Source organism: Homo sapiens, chromosome 1, assembly GCF_000001405.40.
Source record: "Homo sapiens chromosome 1, GRCh38.p14 Primary Assembly".
NCBI classification, from domain to species: domain Eukaryota; kingdom Metazoa; phylum Chordata; class Mammalia; order Primates; family Hominidae; genus Homo; species Homo sapiens.
Window position 1 is genome coordinate 63,230,938 of NC_000001.11, and position 26,597 is coordinate 63,257,534.

The window sequence follows — 26,597 nt, forward strand, 5'->3', positions numbered from 1 at the left end:
CTAGAAGCTGGAGGTTGGGTGCTCCAGAGTCGAAAGCTTAGAGCAGTAGCTCAATTATGTCATCGAGGACACAGGTTCTTTCTGTTCTTCTGCTCCTCACTCTCCTTGGTCCTATGGTTGTTGTCTCATGAATAAATGGAGATGCCACAGTTCCCAACATAATGTCCCTACACCACTGTACCAAGCAGAGAAGAAGGGCATAAAAAGCTTTCTACTCAGGAAGCTCTTCTATTTTATCTGAGAAGAAAAACATTCCCAAAAGCCCTATATCAGGCATTACTTTATGTCTCATTGGTCAAAATGAGGCCCATGGCCATCCCAAGCTGCAAGGCAGCTAGAAAGCAAGTATTATATGGAAAGCAGAACAAGATAGTCATGATGCATCCCCTCTGGTGGAGGAAACTCCACTATTTTAAATGAGTGGCTCCCTGTGTCAACAAAACAAGAAATATGCACTGACATTCCTCATATCTGCAATTAAATACTTTGACCCCAAAATGACCTCTTCTTAGGGCTGATTGGCCAGAACTAGCTATGGGGCTGTTCTGCCAAAATCCAAAGCAATGATGACACTAGATGCTGGCAAAGATATGGAGCAACAGGAACTCTATTTCATTGCTGGTGAGAACACAGAATGGTACAGCCACTTTGGAAGATAGTCTGGAAGTTGCTTATAAAGCTAAACATACTTTTATCATATGATCCAAAATCCAAAAGCATTTTGTATGCTTTTTGCCATCTGTAGACCTTCTTTGGTGAGGTATTTTTTCACATCTTTGGCCTATTTTTTAATTGGGTTGTTTTCTTATTGTTGACTTGTAAGAGTTATCTGTATATTTTGGATAACAGTCCTGTATCAGATATGCCTTTTGCAAATATTTTCCTCCTGTCTGTGGCCTCTCTTCTCATTCTCTTGACAGTGTCTTTTGCACAGAGCAGGAATTTTAATTTTAATAACTCTAGCTGATCAATTAATTCTTTCATGGACTATGTCTTCGGTGTTTTATTTAAAAAGTCATTGCCATGCCCAAAGTCATCTAGATTTTCTGCTATGTTATTTTCTAGGAGTTTTATAGTTTTGTGTTCTACATTTTGATCTATAATCCACTTTGAGTTAATTTTTGTGACGGGGTAAAATCTGTGTCTAGATTCATTTTTTTGCATGTGGATGTCCTCTTGTTCCAACACCATTTGTTGAAAAGATGGTTTTTTCTCCATTGTACTACCTGTGCCCCTTTGTCAAAGATCAGTTGACTGTAGTTATGGGGGTCTATTTCTAGGCCCTCTATTCTGTCATTGATCTATTTGTCGATTCTTTCACCAATACCACACTGTCCTGGTTACTGTAGCTTTATAGTAAGTCTTAAAGGCAAGAAGTGTCAGTCCTCTGACTTTGTTCTTCTAATTCATTATTGTGTTATATATCCTAGGTCTTTTGCCTCTCTATATGAACTTTAAAATCAGTTGGTCAATATCTACAAAATAACTTGCAGGCATTTTAGATTGCATTGAATCTATAAATCAAGCTGGAAGGAACAGACATCTTGACAATATTGAGACTCCTGTCCATGAACATGGAGAATCCCTTCCAGTATTTAGTTGTACTTTTATTTCTTTCATCAGAATTTTTAAGAGCAATAAATTACTTTTATTATAAAATATTTCTAATGTATGTAAAAGTAACAGAATAATGTAACAAACATTCATGTACACTTAATATTGTCATTGAGGCATGTTTATGTAATTTTTAATTGATTCACATATTTCTTCCCCTTTTCTTTTACCATTTTAACTATTTCTAATTATACAGTTCAATAGTGTTAAATACATTCATGTTGTTGTGAAACAGTTCTCCAGAACTTTTTTATCCTGCATATCTGAAACTATACACATTAAACAAATGCCCTTTCCTCTCTCCCACTAGTCCCTTGTAATCACCATTCTTTTTTTAACTTTTATTTTAAGTTCAGGGGTACATTTACAAGATGTGCAGGTTTGTTACATAGGTAAATGTGTGTAATCACCATTTTACTTTCTGTTTCTATAAATTTAATAACGTTACATACCTCATATAAATACAATCATGCAGTATTTGTCTGTGGACAATTTGTTTCATTTAACATAATTTCCTCTAGGTTTATTCATGTTAGCATGTGACAAGATTCCCTTCCTTTTTAAGGTTGAATAATATTCTATTGCATGTCCATACTACATTTTGTTTATTCATTTGGCCATTGATGGACATTTGGGTTGTTTCCTACTGTTAACTACTGTGACTAATGCTGCTTAAACCCATTTATGCCTGAAGTTGCAAGCTTTTGAATTTTATGACATATGTGAAAAATCAGACCTTGGCACTGACCTTGAGCAGTAGGATATAACTCCCACATGCTTAGTGTTCTGCTAATGGAACACTAGGCATAAATGGATGCTGCTATGAACATGGGTATACAAATGTCTCTCTGAAACTTTACTTTCTGTTCTGCTGGATATTATAATAGTCAATTTTTACCCTCCAATAAAGACATATCTGAAACTGGGTAATTTATAAAGAAAAGAAGTTTAGGCCAGGCATGGTGGCTCACGCCTGTAATCCTAGCACTTTGGGAGGCCGAGGCAGGCAGGTCAGGAGTCTGAGACCAGCCTGGCCAACTTGGTGAAACACCGTCTCTACAAGAATACAAAAATTAGCCAGGCATGGTGGCGCATTCCTGTAATCCCAACTACTCGGGAGGCTGAGGCAGGAGAATCGCTTGAACCCAGGAGGCGGAGGTTGCAATGAGCTGAGACCGCGCCATTGCACTCCAGCTGGGGCAACAGAGTGAGACTGTCTCAAAAAAAAAAAAAAAAGAAGAAGTTTAATTGACTCACAGTCCCACGTGGCTTGGGAGGCCTCAGGAAACATAATCATGGAGGAAGGAGAAGAGGCACATCTTACATGGCAGCAGGTGAGAGAGTGAGTGTGTGAAGGAGGAGCTATCGAGGCTTATAAAACCATCAGCTCTCATAAGAACTCACTCTCTATCACAAGAACAGCATGGGGTACACCACCCCCATGATCCAATCACCTCCCACCAGGTCTCTAGCTCAACACATGGGGATTATGGGAATTACAATTCAAGATGAGATTTGGGTGGGGACAAAAAGCCTAACCATATCAGATATATATATCCAGAAGTGAGAGTGCTAGATTATATGGTAGTTCTATTTTTAATTTTTTAATGAAACTCCATACTGTTTTCCATAGCAGTTGCACCATTTTACAATCCTATAAGGGTTCCAATTTCTCTACATTCTCACCAACACTTGTTATTGTTTTTTTAAAGTAGCCATTCTAATGAGTATCAGGTATATCTCACTGTTGTTTTGATTTGCTCTTCCCTAATGATTAGTAATGTTGAGCATCTTTTCATATGCTTGTTGGCAATTTGTACATCCTCTTTGGAGAAACATCTATTTAAGTCTTTTTCCATTTTTTAATCAGCTTATTTGCTTTTTTGTTGTTGAGTCATAGGAATTCTTTAAATATTGTGAATTTAATCCTTATTAGGTTTACGATTTGCAAATATTTTCTCCCTATTCTGTAGGGTGCCTTTGACTCTGTTGATTGTGTCCTCTTATGCACAAAAGTATTTAAGTTTGATGAAGTCTCATTTGCCTATTTTTGCTTTTAGTTACTGTGCATTCACTGTCATAGCCAAGAGATCGTTGCAAAGTCCAATGTCATAAAACTTTTCCCCTGTTTTCTTCAAGGGATTTTTTTTTTTTAAGACAGAGTTTTGCTCTTGTTGCCCAGGCTGGAGTGCAATGGTGCAATCTTGGCTCACCGCAACCTCCACCTCCCGGGTTCAAATGATTCTTCTGCCTCAGCCTCCTGAGTAGCTGGGATTACAGGCATGTGCCAACATACCCGGCTAATTTTGTATTTTTAGTACAGACGGGGTTTCTCCATGTTGGTCAGGCTGGTCTTGAACTCCTGACCTCAGGTGATCTGCCCACCTCAGCCTCCCAAAGTGCTGGGATTACAGGCATGAGCCACTGTGCCCGGCCTTCTTCAAGGGATTTTATAGTATTGAGTCTCATGTTTAGGTCTTTAATCTATTTTGAGTTAATTTTTGAATATGATGTAAGATAAGGGTCTAATTTCACTCTTTAGCATTTGAATATCTCCTTTTATCAACATCATTTGTTGAAGACGCTGTCCTTTCCCCCATTGAGTGGTCTTGACATTCTTGTCAAAGATCATTTGACCTTATGTGGAGGGTTTATTTCTAGGCTGTTTATGCCATTTTATTGTTCCATCTGTCTTTATGTCAATACCACATTGTTTTGATTACCATGGCTTTGTAATATACTTTGAAATCAGGAAGTGTGAATCTTCCAACTTTGTTCTTTTTAAAAAATTTTTAGCTTTTGGGGTCCCTTGAGATTCCGTAAATTTTAGGATAAATTTTTCTATTTCTGCAATAAATGTCATTGGGATTTTGAAAGGATTATAGTGAATTGTAGATTGATTTGGGTAGTATGGACATCTTAACAATATTAAGACTTCTGATCCATGAATATGGGATGTCTTTCCATTTGTTTGTCTTTTTAAACTTCTTTCAGCAATGTTTTGTAGTTTTCAGTGTACATGTCTTTCATCTCTTTGGTTAGGTTATTCTTAAAGTGTTTTATTCTTTTTGATACTATTATAAATAGAATTGTTTACTGAATTTCCTTTTTGAATTTTTCATGTTAGTGTATAGAAATGCGACTGATTTATCCTGCAACTTTGCTACATTCATTTATCAGTTATGCTTTTTTAAAGTTTTGTGATTTTCCTCATATAGATTTTGTACCACATTTTTGTTACTTGCACATTTTTTATACAATTGCACTTTCTTCAGTATGGCTTCTATTCTTCCTTTAATTTTTATATCATTATAAACATTTATTTTACAAGCTCTTTCAAATTATTCTATTATTTCTGGTTCTTAGTGTGCAAATACTATTAGTTACATCTGCTAACTCTTCCTCATGGAGGGTTTTTTCTTGTAAGGTTTGTAATTTTTTTCTATTTCATTTTTAGAGGATTTTATATACTCTATGGCAGAGATAGGTGCCTCTGCGTTTTAAAGGTATGGACAATGACACAATATTTTCAGTTGTTTCTGCAGACATGTTTCTTCCAATGGTATCAATAGTCCTGGATTATTTCTTGAATTATGAATCCTACATCACGCACGTAGAATAAATTTAAGCCCCACACATACATACAGCATAAACCTGAGATTTCAGTTCCCTGGACAGATGGCAATGCCCCCAGACAGATGGCAAACTTCTTTACCACATATCTGGGACAGAGGAAGAGGAAGAGTTTTTCTAACCTGTGAGTGTAAGAACCTCTAAGTTCTAGGCTGTATACAGGGGCAACAATTTCAGGTTCTGTACCTTGCATAGGCTTATTAGCCAAATCTCTTATCTCTGTGTGGGCATTAAGAAACCAACATCCAACCAGATGTGGTGACTCACACCTGTAATACCAGCACTTTGGGAGGCCAAGGCGGGTGGATCACCTGAAGTCAGGAGTCGAAGACCAGCCTGGCCAACATGGCGAAACCCCATCTCTACTAAAAATGCAAAAATTAGCCAGGCATGGTCGCCTGCACCTGTAATCGTAGCTACCGAGGAGGCTGAGGCAGAAGAATCGCTGGAACCCAGGGGGCAGAGGCTACAGTGAGACGAGATTGTGCCACTGCACTCCAGCCTGGGCGACAGAGCAACACTCCGTCTCAAACAAAAAAAAAGAAAGAAAGATACCAACATCCTTCTCCTAGGTCCTGTAATTCTCCCCAAGTCAACTTTCCTCCATACAGGCAAGGGGTCCAGCAGTGCAGCTGGTGCACAGTTACTGAAACCTCATTCACTGCCTTTTCATCTACACAATCACCTATATGATTTTATTTGAAAGCTTCAGAGCAGCAACTTACCCCAAAGCATCTTCCCCAATCAGGGGTCTTAAATCCTATCGCAAAAGATTAATTTCTATGGGATAATCATCGCTTTCTTCTCTTTACATAGACAAAATTCTAAACAGACTTGTCTTAGTGACAGTACCTCTGGGAACATTTTTCAGAATGATGTTGGCACATATCTACTCAAATATATTGTCCCCATCTGGACTTATTTGTTTGGAGAGATCAATAAATTCACATATCAGTGTAAATGACAAGTGGGGGAAGTCAGCAGGAAGAAGAATGAAAATGAGGTGTTTTATAAATTATCAAGACATGATCACTGAAAAACATTTTTTAATTAAAATAAGCATTGTCTGGCCAGGTGCAGTGGCTCAAGCCTGTAATCCTAGCACTTTGGGAGGCTGAGGCAGGGGAATCACATGAGGTCAGGTTAGTGTATAGAAATGCGACTGATTTTTATGTGTTGATTTTGTATCCTGCAACTTTGCTGAATTCATTTATCAGTTATACTTTTTTAAAGTTTTGTTGTCCAGACTAGCCTGGACAACATGGCAAAACCCATCTCTACTAAAAATACAAAAATTAGTCGGGCATGGTGGCACATGCCTGTAGTCCCAGGTACTCAGGAGGCTAAGGCAGGAGAATCGCTTTAACCTGGGAGGTGGAGTTTATAGTGAGCCAAGATCGTGCCACTGCACTCCAGCCTGGGCACAGAGCAAGACTGTGTCTCAAAAAAAAAAAAAAAAAGAAAAAAAAAATCGCGTCATTGGACCAGGACAGGCAGACCCACCCTCAGTCTGGGTGGGCACCATCTAATCAGCTGCCAGTGCAGCCAGAATAAAGCAGGCAGGATAAAATGGAGGAGCAGACTTGCTGAGTCTTCAGGCCTTTATCTTTCTCCTGTGCTGCATGCTTCCTGCCCTCAAACATCAGCTTTTGGATTCTTGGACTTACACCAGTGGTTTGCCAGAGGCCTTTGAGACTTTGGCTACAGACTGAAGGCTGCACTGGGCTTCCCTACTTTTGAGGTTTTGGGACTCAGACTGATCCATCACTGGCTTCCTTCCTCCTCAGCTTGCAAACGGCCTACTGTGGGGCTTTACCGTGTGATCGTGTGAGTCAGTTCTCCTTAATAAACTCTCTTTTGGCCGGGTGCGGTGGCTCACACCTGTAATCTCAGCATTTGGGAGGCCGAGGCGAGTGGATCTCCTGAGGTCAGGAGTTCGAGACTAGCCTGGCCAACATGGTGAAACCCCATCTCTACTAAAAATACAAAAATTAGTCAGGCATGGTGGCACAAGCCTGTAATCCCAGATACTGGGGAGGCTGATGCAGGAAAATTGCTTGAACCCGGGAGGCGGAGGTTGCAGTGAGCCGAGATCGTGCCATTGCACTCCAGCCTGGGCAACAAGAGTGAAACTCTGTCTCAAATAAATAAATAAATAAATAAATAGAAAATAAAAAATAAACTCTCTTTCATATATGCATATATCCTATTAGTTCTAACCCTCTAGAGAACCCTGACTAATACACATTGAAACTAGAAGTAAAGGGTGGATGTGAACACAGATTAGCTTGTTAGGGGTCTGAGAAAGTTGCATTTGCCATAAATATTGTAGTGTATTGATTTATCAAACTGTCTGATCTCCACGAAGGCAAGGACTTTATAAATATGGTGTGTGGTCTCTCAAAAGGGAGAAGGCATCAGGGGGCCAGGGAGTGAGGGTCGCAGAAAGAATCCCAGAGTTGTGGACAATGAACTTTTTCAACTTCACAGTTTAGCTGGGGCCCACTCTCAATAAGAAGAAATCTAGGAAGGAAAGCCAGGCCAAGAAAACTTTAAAACTATTCAAACTGACAGACTGACCCAGCACATGAGAATGAAGTTTGTCAAGTAAATGAACCCTTGGGATGCAATGGCGAGGGTGCCATAAACAAAGACAAGCCCTACCAACAGCCAGACAGCTGGTAACAAAGGCTGGGCTGTAAAAAGGTCTTTCTGGCTGCCCTTTTACACAGAAGTAGGAAAATCACACATTTCTTCTGGGTGTGAGAGTGATCTGGCTACAACATCTGTCACCCCATTGATTGCCAGGCTGGCTTCATTAGTTCTGGCTGGCTAGGCTGGGGTCTCCTTCATCCTAACCTTCCCATGTACATCTTTTCTTCAGCTGCATGCTGTCAAGAATAATATAGTTCTTAGCAGGGAATAACCCCACTTGACTCAAGAACCCCCTAAATAATCTCTTAGTTCTGACATATTGTTCACCCTAAAGAATTATCTCTAATGTCAATGGCACCCAGAGTGGCTGAAGCCTCACAGGAAAAGAGGTTCTATCTCTGGAATTAAGGATTCAACAAGGGGGGTCCAAAGACTTTCAGGCGTTCGTTGAAGATTAAAAAGTCCAAAATATTAAGAGGAACATGGTCCAAACCACTGCTATGAGGACGTAGTGGGATGTCACAAACGTTTGTCCTTCCTTTTCGTGTTTGTTGAGGAGGCAGTGCAGCTTTGTGGGCTTTAAAATCATTACTGTCTGCCCCAGGGCCTCTTGTCTTCATATTTTTGTGACTTAGTTACCATCTATGCACTGCTGATTCCCTGTCCAGAACTCATTCTAGTACTCCTGACCCTCCTATCAATCTGCCTACAAGACTCTTCTACTTTAGTATTCCATAGACGAAAAATATTTATTTGACATCTACTATGTACCAAGTAGCGTCCCAATCTGAACTTATAATCTTCATTCTCCACAAAAGAAAACTGGATGAAATCTTGAGCCTACACCAAGGTTTTCTTTTTATTTATTTATTTATTTATTTATTTATTTATTTATTTATTTTTATTATACTCTAAGTTTTAGGGTACATGTGCACATTGTGCAGGTTAGTTACATATGTATACATGTGCCATGCTGGTGCGCTGCACCCACTAACGTGTCATCTAGCATTAGGTATATCTCCCAATGCTATCCCTCCCCCTTCCCCCGACCCCACCACAGTCCCCAGAGTGTGATATTCCCCTTCCTGTGTCCATGTGATCTCATTGTTCAATTCCCACCTATGAGTGAGAATATGCGGTGTTTGGTTTTTTGTTCTTGCGATAGTTTACTGAGAATGATGGTTTCCAATTTCATCCATGTCCCTACAAAGGACATGAACTCATCATTTTTTATGGCTGCATAGTATTCCATGGTGTATATGTGCCACATTTTCTTAATCCAGTCTATCATTGTTGGACATTTGGGTTGGTTCCAAGTCTTTGCTATTGTGAATAGTGCCGCAATAAACATACGTGTGCATGTGTCTTTATAGCAGCATGATTTATAGTCATTTGGGTATATACCCAGTAATGGGATGGCTGGGTCAAATGGTATTTCTAGTTCTAGATCCCTGAGGAATCGCCACACTGACTTCCACAATGGTTGAACTAGTTTACAGTCCCACCAACAGTGTAAAAGTGTTCCTATTTCTCCACATCCTCTCCAGCACCTGTTGTTTCCTGACTTTTTAATGATTGCCATTCTAACTGGTGTGAGATGATATCTCATAGTGGTTTTGATTTGCATTTCTCTGATGGCCAGTGATGATGAGCATTTCTTCATGTGTTTTTTGGCTGCATAAATGTCTTCTTTTGAGAAGTGTCTGTTCATGTCCTTCGCCCAAGACTAAACCAGGAAGAAGTTGAATCTCTGAATAGACCAATAACAGGCTCTGAAATTGTGGCAATAATCAATAGTTTACCAACCAAAAAGAGTCCAGGACCAGATGGATTCACAGCCGAATTCTACCAGAGGTACAAGGAGGAACTGGTACCATTCCTTCTGAAACTATTCCAATCAATAGAAAAAGAGGGAATCCTCCCTAACTCATTTTATGAGGCCAGCATCATTCTGATACCAAAGCCGGGCAGAGACACAACCAAAAAAGAGAATTTTAGACCAATATCCTTGATGAACATTGATGCAAAAATCCTCAATAAAATACTGGCAAACTGAATCCAGCAGCACATCAAAAAGCTTATCCACCATGATCAAGTGGGCTTCATCCCTGGGATGCAAGGCTGGTTCAATATACGCAAATCAATAAATGTAATCCAGCATATAAACAGAGCCAAAGACAAAAACCACATGATTATCTCAATAGATGCAGAAAAAGCCTTTGACAAAATTCAACAACCCTTCATGCTAAAAACTCTCAATAAATTAGGTATTGATGGGACGTATTTCAAAATAATAAGAGCTATCTATGACAAAACCACAGCCAATATCATACTGAATGGGCAAAAACTGGAAGCATTCCCTTTGAAAACTGGCACAAGACAGGGATGCCCTCTCTCACCGCTCCTATTCAACATAGTGTTGGAAGTTCTGGCCAGGGCAATCAGGCAGGAGAAGGAAATAAAGGGTATTCAATTAGGAAAAGAGGAAGTCAGATTGTCCCTGTTTGCAGATGACATGATTGTTTATCTAGAAAACCCCATCGTCTCAGCCCAAAATCTCCTTAAGCTGATAAGCAACTTCAGCAAAGTCTCAGGATACAAAATCAATGTACAAAAATCACAAGCATTCTTATACACCAACAACAGACAACCAGAGAGCCAAATCATGAGTGAACTCCCATTCACAATTGCTTCAAAGAGAATAAAATACCTAGGAATCCAACTTACAAGGGAGGTGAAGGACCTCTTCAAGGAGAACTACAAACCACTGCTCAAGGAAATAAAAGAGGACACAAACAAATGGAAGAACATTCCATGCTCATGGGTAGGAAGAATCAATATCGTGAAAATGGCCATACTGCCCAAGGTAATTTACAGATTCAATGCCATCCCCATCAAGCTACCAATGACTTTCTTCACAGAATTGGAAAAAACTACTTTAAAGTTCATATGGAACCAAAAAAGAGCCCGCATCGCCAAGTCAATCCTAAGCCAAAAGAACAAAGCTGGAGGCATCACACTACCTGACTTCAAACTATACTACAAGGCTACAGTAACCAAAACAGCATGGTACTGGTACCAAAACAGAGATATAGATCAATGGAACAGAACAGAGCCCTCAGAAATAATGCCGCATATCTACAACTATCTGATCTTTGACAAACCTGAGAAAAACAAGCAATGGGGAAAGGATTCCCTATTTAATAAATGGTGCTGGGAAAACTGGCTAGCCATATGTAGAAAGCTGAAACTGGATCCCTTCCTTACACCTTATACAAAAATCAGTTCAAGATGGATTAAAGATTTAAACGTTAGACCTAAAACCATAAAAACCCTAGAAGAAAACCTAGGCATTACCATTGAGGACATAGGCGTGGGCAAGGACTTCATGTCCAAAACACCAAAAGCAATGGCAACAAAAGCCAAAATTGACAAATGGGATCTAATTAAACTAAAGAGCTTCTGCACAGCAAAAGAAACTACCATCAGAGTGAACAGGCAACCTACAACATGGGAGAAAATTTTCGCAACCTACTCATCTGACAAAGGGCTAATATCCAGAATCTACAATGAACTCAAACAAATTTACAAGAAAAAAACAAACAACCCCATCAAAAAGTGGGCGAAGGACATGAACAAGGTTTTCAATTGAACTAATGTTGGGAGTATGTATAAAGTGCCAGGTACTGTCCCAGCCACTTCCACCTACAGATCTCATATAACCTTCACGCTGATCCAATGGAATAAGAATGAATACCCTCCATCTAACAGGTGAGAAAACAGATATATAAAAGTAATAGGTGCTTCCAAGAGTTTAGGATTTCAAGGATATTTCAAAAGAGATTTGGGGACATCACATGGGATTGCTGTTTATCTTAGCAAATAGAAACAGTTAAAAAAAATTAGTATAATTTCATAAAAGATAGGCTGTATTAAAAACAAAAAGTAAAAAGGAGAAAAAATATAAACATTCATTTAAGTTTAATAAATTTTGGTTTATGGAAAATTTATATTGTCCTTAGTTTTTTCATTTTGCTGTTAACCCGTGAAGGCCTAGGCATAGGTCTTAAATTTGGGGACTACTAATTTGAGTTACTTGTTTAGGGCTCCTAGATTGACTGACTGATAAATAGCTAGCTATCAGGGTTTCCTGATATTTGCATAAAGAACCAGGTTACATCTCTCTTTTTCAGCCATATTTCTTGGCAAATGCTAGGCAAATTAAATTATGTTGACTTGCCTTAAAAGATGTGAAACAGAGAACAGCTCGAGATCTACCTTAGGGGAGCTGTAGCTCATTCAGTGGGGTTGCTTTATATTTAGAAAATAAAAGAATTATAATCTTTGGCCTTTCTGGAAAAAAAAAACTTTGGGGATGTTACATTTTCTTCAGAGATAGAATAATAAACTTCTGGAGAAAACATTTTGTCATAACTGTATTTTGCAAAGATTATAAGATTATTCCAGAGTAGTATCAGAATAAATCAGAAATGAGTGTAACAGGGCTTGAAATTCTAGTTTTCAGGGTAAACACAGTAATAATTTCCAAATTATAAACTAATGAAGACTTCCAAATTGTCAGAAACAATGAAAATTAGTTTTAGGTATACTTTCTAATAGTGAAATAAATTGATTTTTTTAAACTGTAACTAAATTTGGAAATTAAATACTACTCACTATACCCTGATGCTTAAAAGTCCTTAAAGAAGTCAAATAATACTGCTTGCTAGACCTAGCCTATTGGACTCTCGGCTCATTAACACTAAAAAATATATAATTTAGTATTTAGAGTGACAGGTATATTACTCAATTAATTTTTTGGTAATAAAATACCATTCAGTGAAGAAAGCAAGGCAAATATCAGCAATCAAGGTGAAATAGAAAGAAAGGTAGAAAGAAAACTATCAACAGTAATGTAATTAACATATTTGCAGTTGTGATTATTTTGGTAACTTTATCACATTTTTGGTCAAGTTAAAACACCTCAGCAAAAATTATTAGTTTGAATTGTCTAAAATTTTTGTTTTTCTGTAGGTCAAAAAAATGATCAAATGTCAGCTATTTCAAATAGTTCGAACTGCTGACCACAGTGGCTCACATCTTTAGTCCTAGCTACTCAGGAAACTAAAGTGGGAGGATCACTTGAGCACAGGAAGGTACCACTCCAGCCTGGGTGACAGAGAAAGACCCTGTCTGTAAAAAATAATAATAATAAATAAAAAATAAGCTTTCTTTCGGCCTTAGCACCATCCTCTTGGAAACCTCTGCTCCATGAGAGCCAAGTGGAGGAAGAAGCAAATGTGCAGGCTGAAGCTCAAAAGATGAGGCACGGGTGTCCAAGTAAACCGCTAGCTTGTGCACCCATGGAGGCCCCAGGAGCAGAAACATGGAGTGCCAGAGGCTGGGGATGCCAGTATAAGTTGTTGGACAACATGCTACTGTCTAGAACTTGTCTCTCAAAGGACCTAGAAGTTCCATCACCATCTGATCACCAAGACCACCTCTGAGAGACCTACCTTGCTCATACCAAAACAGTCCCTGTTGGTCATTTACCCTGGACCTGTAACATTCTGGGCTCATTTCTGTGTTCACTTGTGGCCAAGTGTAACAAGCATACAGTAAATCACCTCTTCTGCTGTCTTGGTTGAAGAATCAAAAAAATCAAAAAATAAGAAATAAAAATAAATTGTTAAGGAATAAATAGTTCAAACGAATATCTTATAATCCTCAATACATTTTAACTAGGTAAATTAAAACATTGTATTCATTTTTATACAGGAAAATGGGTAGATCCTGTGACTGCTTTATGCCAGATTATCATGGGAGAATCAACAACAGAACTAGAAGTATGGACCATTAGAATAACAGATTATTAGTTACATTAATTCATCAAGTGCCTGACCCATGGGTCAGGCAAAATTGGAGTGAGGGAGCAGTGTGACATACTTTACAGAGAGTTGGACATTTAAAGTTTGCTGAGGAGAGTTTAACCTCGGAAAGGCACAAAGAAAAGAAATAAAGCTACTTTTTTTTTTTTTTTTTTGCTTTTACTTCTATTGTCAAAGTGAAGTATTTGTTTTCTATTAAACAGAAACTGTTTTAATAAAGATGTGTTGACTTAATAAATTATATATGAATTCCCCAGCAAAGTCAGGCTTAGGCAGTAGTTTCATATGCTAATATCAACAACCAAAGCACTTTCCGTCAGGGACTTAGACTGAGTGAAGTTTAATGAATTGACATTGCAGCAAAGTATCCACTTTAATAACAAGTCTGATCATTCTTCTTCCTTGCCTGTCTTGTTCAACACTACAACCCAGTCTTAGTCCATTCATGCTGCTATAACAAAATATCTTAGATTGGGTAATTAGTAAACAACAGAAATGTATTCCTCAAATTTCTGGAGGCTAGGAAATCGAAATCCAAGATCAAGGCTCCAGCAGATATGATGTCTGGTGAAGGCTTGTTCTCTGCTTCATAACAGAGCCTTGTTGCTGCATCCTCGCAGAGCAGAAAGCAGAGGGCACAAGAAGTGAACACTGTGTCCTCACATGGCTGATGAGATGGAAGTGCCTAGCAGCCTGAAGCCTTTTTCATAAGGGCATTAATCTCATTCACAAGGGAGGAGCCCTCGTGACTTAATCACTTCCCAAAGGCCTCACCTCTTAATACCATCATCTTGGGGTTTAAGTTCCAACATATGAATTTTGGAGGGACACATATATTCAAACCTTAGCCATCCCTATTCTGGCAAATAATAAGCCCTCAATAAATATTTGTTGTATGAACAAATTAGCTGGTGCTTGGTCCTCAAATATAGTATAATAATTTCTGCCAAAAAAAAAAGTTCACAATGTTTATTACTACTTATAAACTTTTCAACAAACAGTAAAAATGACCATAAATTCATTAATTCTGACATCTTCCCCTGCCAAATAGTACTATTATCTCTCAATTGGATTTTTAAATTTAATTTTTTTCTTTTGTTATTTTATTTTTTTTAATTTATTTATTTTGAGACAGAGTCTCACTGTATCACCCAGGCTGGAGTCAGTGGCATGATCTTGGCTCACTGCAACCTCTGCCTCACAGCTTCAAGCGATTCTCCTGCCTCAGCCTCCCAAGTAGCTGGGATTACAGGCATGCACCACCACACCTGGCTAATTTTTGTACTTTTAGTAGAGATGGGGTTTCACCATGTTGTCCACACTGGTCTCGAACTCCTGGCCTCAAGTGATCTATTTGCCTCAGTCTCCCAAAGTGCTGGGATTACAGGCATGAGCCACCATGCCCAGCCTTTTTTTCTTTTTTTAAAGATGGGGTTTCACCATGTTGCCCAGGCTAGTCAAGAACTCCTGGCCTCCACCTTGGCCTCCCAAAGTGCTACCACAAGCCAAACAAAATCTATATAAAGTGTTAACTAAAGAAATATTTTAAGCATTTAAATATTTGTTGAAACATTCTAATTCTTATGTAATTTATATGTACATCTTTTATACTAGAAATGTAATCAGAACTGCATGTATACAAAAACTGTGCTTCTTTTTTTGCCTATAATATAGTACTGTATCGCTAGTTCAAAAAGTTGCTATAAGAATTAATGAATTATGTAAGAAAGAAATTTTAAGTATAAAAGAGCCTATTCTAAGTGAAAACATTATTATAACAATCCTACCTCCTTATCTAATTATAATGCGAAGAACCATTTTACAAGGCAACTTGTAAGCTTCAAAATAGTCTGATTAAAAAAATGTTTTAGACTATATATTAGGCAAAAGAGAAAATCTAATTTTAGTGTTATTAAATGATTGAAAATAAAAGCACTGTCAATACAAGTATTCCAACTGCCAGAGTTCTATAGGCCAGATAATAATTTTAAATAATAGTTACATTGTTAATTGTTGAAATAATATGTAATAGTCTTTTTTCTCCTCAATCATTAAAATCTTATATAATATGCTAATAATAATTTGTCACTAAGACAGGTATTTTTCTAAGTAATGTATCACCAAACCACATTTTGTTTCTAGTGTCATCTGCTGAAATCAATCCATGTTATAAAATGACACATTGGCTAAAAACTTGATAAACTTTGGAATGAAGTTCACTGACTGCTACTAAAAATAGACCCATTTTAATTTTTTCAACAAATTTAATAGGAGCATGGTGATAGAAGTACATTAGGATAATAGAAATTCACCCTACATCAGTTTTTAATGAATCTTAGATATCACAATTCTTTCATATTCCAAAATTTAATTAGTCTTCAAAAATAATAACTACCATTTCTTGAGCTCTTACAACATGCAAGATACTGTGCTAATAACTTTACATACTTCACAGAGTCTTCCAAACAATCTTATGCAATGCTGTACATAATAATTAGTGTCCCCATTGTACAGAAATGGAAACTGAGACTCAGAAGACTAAGAAATTTGTTGTAAATATTAGATAAATAATAGAAGAGCTGGGATTTGAATACATCAGGTGTATCTGATTCCAAAACCTGTGCTGTTAACCAATATGACGTATTACCCATGTAATTTTAAGAAAACAAAGTCCCGGTCTGGTGCAGTGGCTCATGCCTGTAATCCCAGCACTTTGGAAGGCCTAGGTGGGAGAATTACTTGAGGTAGGAGTTTGAAACCAGCCTGGACAACATGGGGAAACCCCATCTCTACTAAAAATACAAAAAAAATTAGCCAGGCGTGGTGGTGCGCACCTGTAGTCCCAGCTAGTAGGGAGACTAAGGCAGGAAGATCACTTGAACCCGGGAGACAGAGGTTGCAGTGAGCCAAGATCGTGCCACTACATGCCAGCCTGGGCGACAGTGTGAGACGCTGTCTCAAAAAAAAAAACAGACAAAAGATAGGAAAACGAAAACAAAGTCCTAAATATAGGGGAATGGAAAGTCAACAAAGTAGAAATATAAAATTAGGTAAGGTATGGAAAAAAAAGAAAAAGATGTTGTTAATTGTTAAAGAGAGAAGGAAATGTAAACCATGGTAAGATTCTCAAAGGTATATTTACAAAATAAGATAAATGAATTTTCATTTTTAATAAATCATTTTCTTTTGGTAATATTTGAAGATGATTGCAGAGAATGATTCTTTTCAGAGTTTCTTGATAAACACATTTTTCATTCTAGATTAAAAATTCAAGGTTTTTTAATCATCTTGTTTATTTACACCTGTGTAGTGGTTTCACTAAATTATGTACATACTTTTTAATAAGCATTTGATAACAAGAATCAAATATTTGTGAGGAAATGAAGTATACTTATTTAAGCTTCGCATCATCATTTCTCCTCCATGGGAAATTAAGTTATTTTCACATGACCGAAAAAATTCATGACACACAATTAAAAAACAACAAACAAGGGTCACATTTTATAAGGCAGCAATTATGTTCATGTGGTATCAGTATAATTGAAAGACAGAAGACATTTCATTCGTTAGTAACACAGAGTTTCTTCTAGTGGGTTTCCTGGAGCTCATTAGATATTCCCTGGCTGATTCTCCTAAGTAATTAGATTTTAACAGGATTTTCAACAGATCAGAGCAATCTCTGTGGGTGCCAATAGAAGAGTCCCCCTCTGGCCTTACCAGCAGGGCAGAGCAGATAATATCCAGACTGGGAGTTAATAGGACAATTACTGGCCTCTTTTAAATGAGTTACATTAATGCACTTAAGCTAAATGGCTCTGCATATGATTAAATATTAACATTTGCAAAATATGAAATCACAATATGCAATCAAGTTTTGTTGTTTTAATTTCCCCCAAGAAAGATTTCAATTGTTTACATAAATACCTTTAAATATTGTATATTAAACATTTTTAGGATATACTAATAGAAAGTTGGAAATCATTCCTCTCACTTAGGAGCCCTAAAATATACTGACCTTCAGGACGCCATTTCTGGCTGAGATGGAGTAACTAAAAAAATCAGATAAATATATGAAATAATATTTATCAGACATTAGATAACAGCCAATACAGGACAATGATCTCTGAGAGGAAAGGAAAGAAATGAGATGGTTTTCCTGAGTTGAGAGACAAAGTGGAGAAGTTAGGCAAGCCAAGGTGGCTGGAATTCACCAGACAAATAGAAGACAATAGTATCAAAACACCAAAGGAAAAGAACCCAAAGATCTGTGGAGGGTCCCCCTTAAGTCTTAAGCTTAGTGTTGATCAGCACATGCATGTGAGGCAACCACTCAAATTTGGAAAAAGAACCACTTTTCCAGGAGCAGGTCAAATAATTTTCAGAGCTCACAGAGGCCTGGGAATAGTTCACATTCTCAACAGCCAGAGTTAAAAATGAACACCTCAGAATATATAAGGCAACAGGCAGATATTGTCTCAGTAGTTGGGGCAAAGTAGCCCTAAACTAAAAGTTGCTCTGGTCCTACCTAACAAAACCTAAGACAAATGTCAAAAGGATGAATCTATTTTTAAATTATTTGAAAACTCTAAAACAAAGCTCAATAATATTTAGGAATACAAAAGAATCCACCACCAAACAATGTAAATTTCACAATGTCTAGCCCCAAATTCACAAAATCATGAAAGTAGCCAGAAAATATGACTTAAAATCATAAGAAAAAAATCAATCAGTAGAAGCAGACCAAGAAATTATCAAGATTAGAAATTAGGAAAAAGGAACATTAAAACAATGATTAGAAATATATTTCATATTATAAAAAAGAGAGGAAAGCATAAGCATGGTAAAAAGAGACATGGTAGATATAAAAATAACCTAAGTCAAACTTCTGAAGATGAAAAATACAATGTCTTAGGTAAAGAAAAAAAAAAAACATGTAGAATTAAAAATAGTTTAATACTGCAGACAAAAAAAAATGTACAGAACATCATTGAGCTGTGCGACAATTTTAAGCAGCCTAATATATGAGTAATTGAAGTCCCAAAAGGAGAAGAGAGAGTGGAAGGGAAGAGAAAAGCAGTTTGAAGAAACAATGACCCCAAAATTTTTAATTTTGATTAAAACAACACAACCATGAAACATGAAAAAAGCTATACAAAGGCATATCAGTAATTAAATAGCCTAAAATACACTGAATTTAAGTGAATTTTGAAAATATTTTAAATGTCTCCCGCAAAAAACAAAATACAGTTGGTCCTCAAACAATGTGAGTTTGAACTGAGTGGGTCCACTTAACACAATAATTTTTTGCAATAAGTATAGTCAGCCCTCCATACCAGCCAGTTCCAAATTCACAACCAAACACAGATTGAAAATTCAGTATTGGAGGGATGCAAATCCCACGTGTAAAGAGGGCCGACTTTGCATATCCACGATTTCTGCAGTACCGATGGCGGGACTGGAGTATGAGCAGATTTTGGTATCCACAAGTGGTTCTGGAACAAATTCCCCACAGATACTGAGGAACGACTAAACGGCCTAGACCTGATCCAAAGTCAGTTTTGTGCTTTGTTCCTATGACGTTGGCCCATAATATTTTCTTTTCTTTTCTTTTCTTTTCTTTTTTTTGAGACAGTTTCACTCTCGTTACCAAGGCTGAAGTGCAATGGCACCAACTCAGCTCACCGCAACCTCCGCCTCCTGGGTTCAAGCGATTCTCCTGCCTCAGCCTCCCGAGTAGCTGGGATTACAGGCATGCACCACCATGTCTGGCTAATTTTTTGTATTTTTAGTAGAAACGGGGCTTCTCCATGTTGGTCAGGCTGGTCTCGAACTCCCGACCTCAGGTGATCCACCTCCTCAGCCTCCCAAAGGCATGAGCCACCACGCCCGGCCAGCCCATAATATTTTCTAGAAAGAATTTTCAACCTAATACACTTAATTTTGCCACTGAGTATAAGAGATTTCAGAAATTTTTAATGAATTATACTCTTTATTTATAGACCTTATAAAATGATGTTTCCTGTTCTTCTTATAATAGTAGTACTTAGCCTCAGACGTCGAAACATTACTATAAAATATCAAATTAGGCCCCTGTCAGTGCAGAGGCAGAAGCCTGAACCAGACAAATAAGTACTGTGAGCATTACCTCTATGCCTTAATTGGCTCTTATTCACTTGGACATAGGGAATAAGATGAGTAAGAGAATCTTCCCACTTATTAGGCCCTCATAAAATCATTATAACTAGTTCAGGTATTCATGATCCAGAAAGAAATGGAATCTGTGCATATAGGGTCTTACAAAGAGGTGGTGACCAGCTGCAACTTTTCTTTCATGAGACTCAAAACTAGAGGCTTAGATTTGATCATAAGAAAAAGCTTCCTGACATTGGAATGGATTAAAAACAAAAATAGTGGAATTTTCTGAAAATTTCAAATTCTGTTTCTGGTTGGTTGGTTTGTGAGACAGGGTCTCACTCTGTCGCCCAGACTGAAATGCAGTGGCACAATACAGGGCTCATGCAGCCTCGACCTCCTGGGCTCAAGTGATCCTCCCGCCTCAGTCTCCTGTGTTGCTAGGACTACAGGCACCTGCCACCGTGGCTGGTTAATTTTTTTTTTTAATTTTTTATAGAGATAAGGTCTCTCTATAAAAGAGACCTTTTATGTGTTGCCTAGGTGGGTCTCAAACTGCTGGACTCATGTAGTTCTCCTACCTCGGCCTCCCAAAGTGCTGGGTTCACAGGTATGAGTCACCACGCCCAGCCCAGTTTCTGTTTTGACTAGATGGTTTGGATATAATCCTAGTAAAATCTGATGTACACCCAACTTGCCTTTTCTACAAGTCTGTGAACATTTGATTGGTTGAAATGATACCTAAATGTCTTAGGTTGAGCCACAACAAGCTCCACTAACTTTCAATAGTAAAGCTTAGAGCATGTCTGTAGCCCTAAAAAATGTGAGAATATTCAGATCAACTTTCTGTGTTGAATTTCATCTCCTCATTTCTATTTGTTCATCTACAAGTTTATTTCTGTAATTCTATTTTTACTTATGGAGATTTCAAATGTCTATATCTTGCTTTATTTAATTGAAGTATTCCAGACACCTTAGGTTGGAACAGAACTTTTTCTATCTATTTATACTTCAGGGGCATTTAGGGAACTTGTTGTTTAAAAGAAATCATTTTCTGATTTTTTTTTTTTTTTTGGAAACAGGGTTTTACTTCTGTTTCCCAGGCCGGAGAACAGTGGGGCGGGTCTGCATGCCACAGTTCACTGTGGCCTTAACTTACGGGGCTCAGGTGATTTTCCCATCTCAGCCTCCTGAATAGCTGTGACTACAGGCGTATGCCACCAAGCCTCACTAATTTTTTGTTTTCTTTGTAGAGGTGTTGCCCAGGCTGGTCTCGAACTCCTGGGCTCAAGCAATCCACCCACTTTGGCCTCCCAAAGGGCTGAAATGACAGGCGTGAGCCACCCTGCCTGGCCCATTTTCTGAATTTTTTGGTCTAAATCTGATTTTTAGATATCAAATTTGCTTAATACAAGGTACACGGCCAGGCACAGTGGCTCACGCCTGTAATCCCAGCACTTTAAGAGGCCAATGCAGGCAAATCACTTGAGGTCAGCAGTTTGAGACCAGCCTGACCAACATGGTAAAACCCCATTTCTACTAAAAATACAAAAATTAGCCAGGCGTGGTGGCACACCCTTGTAATCCCAGCTACTTGGGAGGCTGAGGTGCGAGGATCACTTGAACCCCGGGAGGTAGAAGTTGCAGTGAGCTGAGATCGTGCCACTGCACTCCAGCCTGGGCAACAGAGTGAAACTCCATCTCAAAACAAAACAAAACAAAACAAAATAAACAAGGTACACAAAACTAAATTGTTAAAGTATATTTGCAGACCTGGATGAAAGATGGTACCTTTATATAATTTGCTGAGTACTATCCATGGACAATGGAAATTGTAGTATCACAAAATACATAGAGATAACGAAGCAAACAATGAGTTTTAGAAAATGGGTTGAGATAACCTGGCCAAGTAGATTATATTAATCACACTGAGACCCACATGAAATCAGCATTTGCAAAGGACCTCAAGGATGTCAAACAGCTGGCCTGAATTAGACTCTAATTCCCCTTTCATTATCCCTCTTTGAGAGTTTTCAGGCCTATTTTACACAATGAACTTGAAAGACATTGGTAAGAGGCGTATTTATAGATTTGATTGGTCCAGTGGGCATTTGAGTATGTCCTACTAAAACATAAAGCATTGAAAGAAAGGAAAGACAAGACTAATACACATGAAAGAGGGTAAAGGATAATATACTCCCATGGCTAATTGTGTGCTTTTTGAATTACCAGAAAGTAGAATTAAAACCTAAGAGTTGTAGCCACAGGAGGACAAAGTTAGGCCCAATATAAGACTAAACTTTCTAATAGTCTAAGCCAAATGAAAATCAAAGGCCAAGTTTCTCATCACTCTAAGTGTGTAAACATAGACTGACCATTTGGCAGGGATTTTGTAGATTAGATTCAAGTGTTGTATTGGTGATTGAATTAGAAAACATTTAAAAACCTAATCTTGGCCGGGCACGGTGGCTCATGCCTGTAATCCCAGTGCTTTGGGAGGCCGAGGCAGGCAGATAACTTGAGCTCAGGAGTTCAAGGCCAGCCTGGCCAAGATGGTGAAACCCATCTCTACTAAAAATACAAAAATTAGCCGGGCATGGTGGTGCGTGCCTGTAGTCCAAGCTACTCGGGAGGCTGAGGCAAGAGAATTGCTTAAACCCAGGAGGTGGAAGTTGCAGTGAGCCGAGATGCGCCACTGCACTCCAGTCTGGGAGACAGGGCAAGACTCCATCTCAAAAAAACAAAAACAAAAACATAATCTTAAAGCAGGCACAGTGGTGCATTCCTGTAGTCCCGGTTGCTCAGGAGGTTGAGGAAGAAAGATTGCTTGAGCCAGGAGCTTGAAGGTGCAGTACACTATAATCGAACCTGTGAATAGCCACCACACTCCAGCCTGGGCAACATAATGAGACCTCATCTCTGAAAAAAACAAAACAAAAACCTTAATCTGTAAGTCTTTCTAAACATTCAGATAATCCGACTCTATGATCCTAAATGCTCTGGTGGTCAGACAAGGGGCTTCCTTTGCCTCAACTTTTTCCACAGGAAAAATATCTCCCCCTTTCTTGCATATAGAAAATATTGGACTGGAAGGAGGAAATCTAGGGTAGTTCTGGCTCCATCACTAATTTGTTGGGTGACTGAACAAGTCACTTAATATTTCTTGGTTTTGTTACCTGCAAGTGTGGCCTGGGGGCTCTAAAGACATGTCACAAGAGTTATGCTACTTTATAGACTTTGCTTCTTCAAGTCTCCAACTCTTAGCTGAATGTCCACCCAACACCTTGCTAGAGCAACCAACCAAGATTCTGTTTGTGACATTCAGAAAAATGCAAAATCTCTAGCGTTATAACTCCATGTTGCTGATGTGGGAAATCTTATGGTCATAACTGACTTCTATCTGTTAGCTCCACCCATATTTATTCATGGTGGCCAATCACAGAGAAAGGTCCTAGACACTACTCCATTTATCAATGACCTTCACAGACCAGCTCAAACATTTCATTTTCAGATTGTGTTACCAAACAGTTTCACATTCCTGATTAAGAGTCATATTGCCCCTGCTTCTGAAGCAAAGCTTCATGCTATAATCATTTAAAAAGAGCAAGCAAATAGATAAGCTCCAAGTTCTTCAAGTTTTTAGAACTTACTTGCTATTACAATATTCTAAAATATTAGTTGTATCATTTACTGTTGCTTCCAAAATAAATATAGAGAGAATATTACCAAGAGACATGTTAACTGAATCACTCTGAAGAAAATGCTAAATATGGCACAGAAAAATGAGTAAAACTAATTCTTTTCTTGCAGCAACTCATCAAAATTGACTGTCTAGTCATTTGTGTATACCTAACGCTAAGTTGCTAAGTTCAGAAGCAATCTCACTAAAATGAGAAAACACTCCCACTGGCTTAATTTTCTCTGTCTAATGTTCACATTATGATATTCCTTTGCAGTACAATTGGAGATGGACTATTGCAGATTTCTTCTCTTAAACTTTCATGCATTTGATTTAAAAAAAAAAAAAAATTGGCCAGGTGCGGTGGCTTACACCTGTAATCCCAGCACTTTGGGAGACCAAGACAGGAGGAACCCTTGAGCCCAGGAGTTCAAGACCAGCCTGGGCAACATAGTGAGAACTTGTTCTCTACAAAAAAATTTTAAAATTTGTAAAATTAGCTGGGAGTGGTGTTGTGTGCCTGTAGTCTCAGCTACTTGGGAGGCTGAGGTGGAAGGATTGCCTGAGCCCAGGAGGTTGAGGCTGCAATGAGCCAAGATCATGTCACTGCACTCCAGCCTGGGTGACAGAGTTAGACCCTGTCTCAAAAAACAAAAACAAAAAACTCTACTACAAAAAAAATTATCAAAATAAACTAAACTCTAACTTCTTACTAGAGGATCAGATCAGTCTTTTGCGAAATCTAGTTGCTAAATGTTTTAAGTCATTTTGGGAAAATCAGCATTCCTTGTTGTGCAATGTCTACTTCATGCTGTCCTCTGCCTCTAGAAAATTTTTCTTAAGGGAGTGAGACCACAATCAAGCATTACCCAACTTCCTGTCTGTCACTGAGAAATACTCAGGTAAGAGAAAAAGAACTAAGGGTGGCTAAATAGTAAGAAAAGCCTGCCCTCAGTAACTATTAGATTCAAAAGTGAATAAAAATAATGCCATAGGTATGGCACTTTAAACATTTCAATGTGTTAATGTCCATGATTTCACTCGATACACTAGTAACCTTATCAGGTGGCATAAAGTATGGGCCCTCATTTATAGAAAGGGAAAATAAGACAAAGCGCTTGCCTTGTCACACAATGAGCTTGCCATGGACTGAATTATGTTCCCCAACTCCATACCCAAATTCATATTTCGAAGGCTTAACCTCCAGTGTGACTGTATTTGGAGATAGGGCCTTCAAGGAGGTAATTCAGGTTAAATGAGGTCATAAAGCTGGGGTCCTGATACCATACAATTAGTGTCCTTATAAGAAGAGATGCCCTCTCTGTCTCTCTGCATACACACACACAGAAGAGGTCATGTGAGCATACAGTGAGATGGTGGCCACCTAGAAGGCAGGAAGGGAGGCCTCACAAGAAACTCACCATGCTGGCACCTTGATCTTGGACTTCCAGCCTCCAGATCTTTGAGGAAATAAATGTCTGTTGTTTAAAGCTACCCAGGCTATAGTATTTCGTTATAGCAGCCTAAGTTGAGTGAAACAGAGCTAATGATCATAAAATTTCTAAAACCCAAGCCTCTTGACTCTGTCTTCGTTTATATCAGTGTAGTGTAATGGCCAGCACTGAACTACTGAGAATGATCACATAAACTTCATGTAATTTTTTCTGAACCTATAATTGTGGCTGCCCCAAAAGCTGCCGTTTTTTCATCTTCCCTCAAGTAACAGAAGGACTGCTGTCATAAAGATACACTTCCGAGGGGAGAAATGGAAGCAACATCATAAATGTGTAACATATCTGGTGGATTTCTCTGTAGTGATGAACTTTTGAATGAATTCCTTTCTTAAAATATTCCACTTGTTATTGGGAAATGATTTTTTAACTTGTGTCTAATATTTTCTTCATATGAGGAGATAGGTCTCTCTCTACCCACTTAACTCATTTAAACCTAACTAGTAACTTTTGTAAAGAATAACTGAGAATGCTCCACTTGGCTCAACTGTTCTTTCTCCTGAGATGAACTTGTCCACAGAAAGCACAAATTCTTTGCTTTTCCATGTTGTAAATCCTACTGGGCTGGCCTCTCATGTATGCAAGTTGGGACCTTGTAGGTTAGTGTATCTAATGCCAGGTTTCTGTTAGAAAGCCCATTTAGCTCCCACACAAAGCCAACTCAGCCTGTATCCATAACAAAGGTGGTATTTTGGCCTCAGTATTTACTTTTTAAAAAAAAAAATTATTGAATCATTCAGAAAGAAGAAAAGCAGGGAATTATTTAATGCAGGTCCCTTTAGAGACCACCAGCGTAACTGCAGGACAAACTTCTCTATTCCATTATCTCTACCATTTGAGAGGCCAGGAGAAAACATGAACCTTAATGGAGATGGAATTATCCTTGCAATGACTGCAGTAAATGTTTGTTGAAGGGGAAAAAAATGGAAAGAGAAAATATACCATATATACCTAGTTTTAATGGAAAGCCGATTTCTGCCATATACATTAGAGAAATTGTTTAAGAACAGTTCATCCATGTGAAAATATTAGCACTGTAATTCTGCCAAGGTCAGTAAGACCTAGTGATTTGCTGAGATATCACCTTCATTTCACCAGGTAAATAAAGGCTCCTTTTTTCAATGTGTCCTATCCAAGAAGGCAATCCACAGCAACAGTTAAATTATGAATACAGCACATATGTTCCATACCATATCATTTACAGCACAATTTAGCATGGACATAATGCTTTGTAACAAACTACAATACCATTCACAAAATGCATTTAAATAGCATAATTTAGTTCATTAAATTCAGTCATTTACAGTAAATCAAAATCATCATCGGAATTGAAGAGAGTACACAGTTGTTTGTTTGAATAGTTAAGCTAGGTAAGTCAATTTCTTTTTGAAGGTCAAGGACAGAGTTGTTTCCATTTTCTGTTATAAAAAAGATACAGCTGGTGTCAAAAGATAATTTACTGTCATTTCAAAACGATCAACCCTC

General features: G+C 38.2%; 1 long non-coding RNA gene across 1 annotated transcript in view; it reads right to left on the reverse strand.

Annotated features, from left to right (window-relative positions):
* LINC00466 (long intergenic non-protein coding RNA 466) overlaps positions 1-26,597 on the reverse strand; it is a 158,175-nt gene that overhangs the window by 71,855 nt on the left and 59,723 nt on the right. The gene's annotated exons all lie outside the window — the stretch shown is intronic.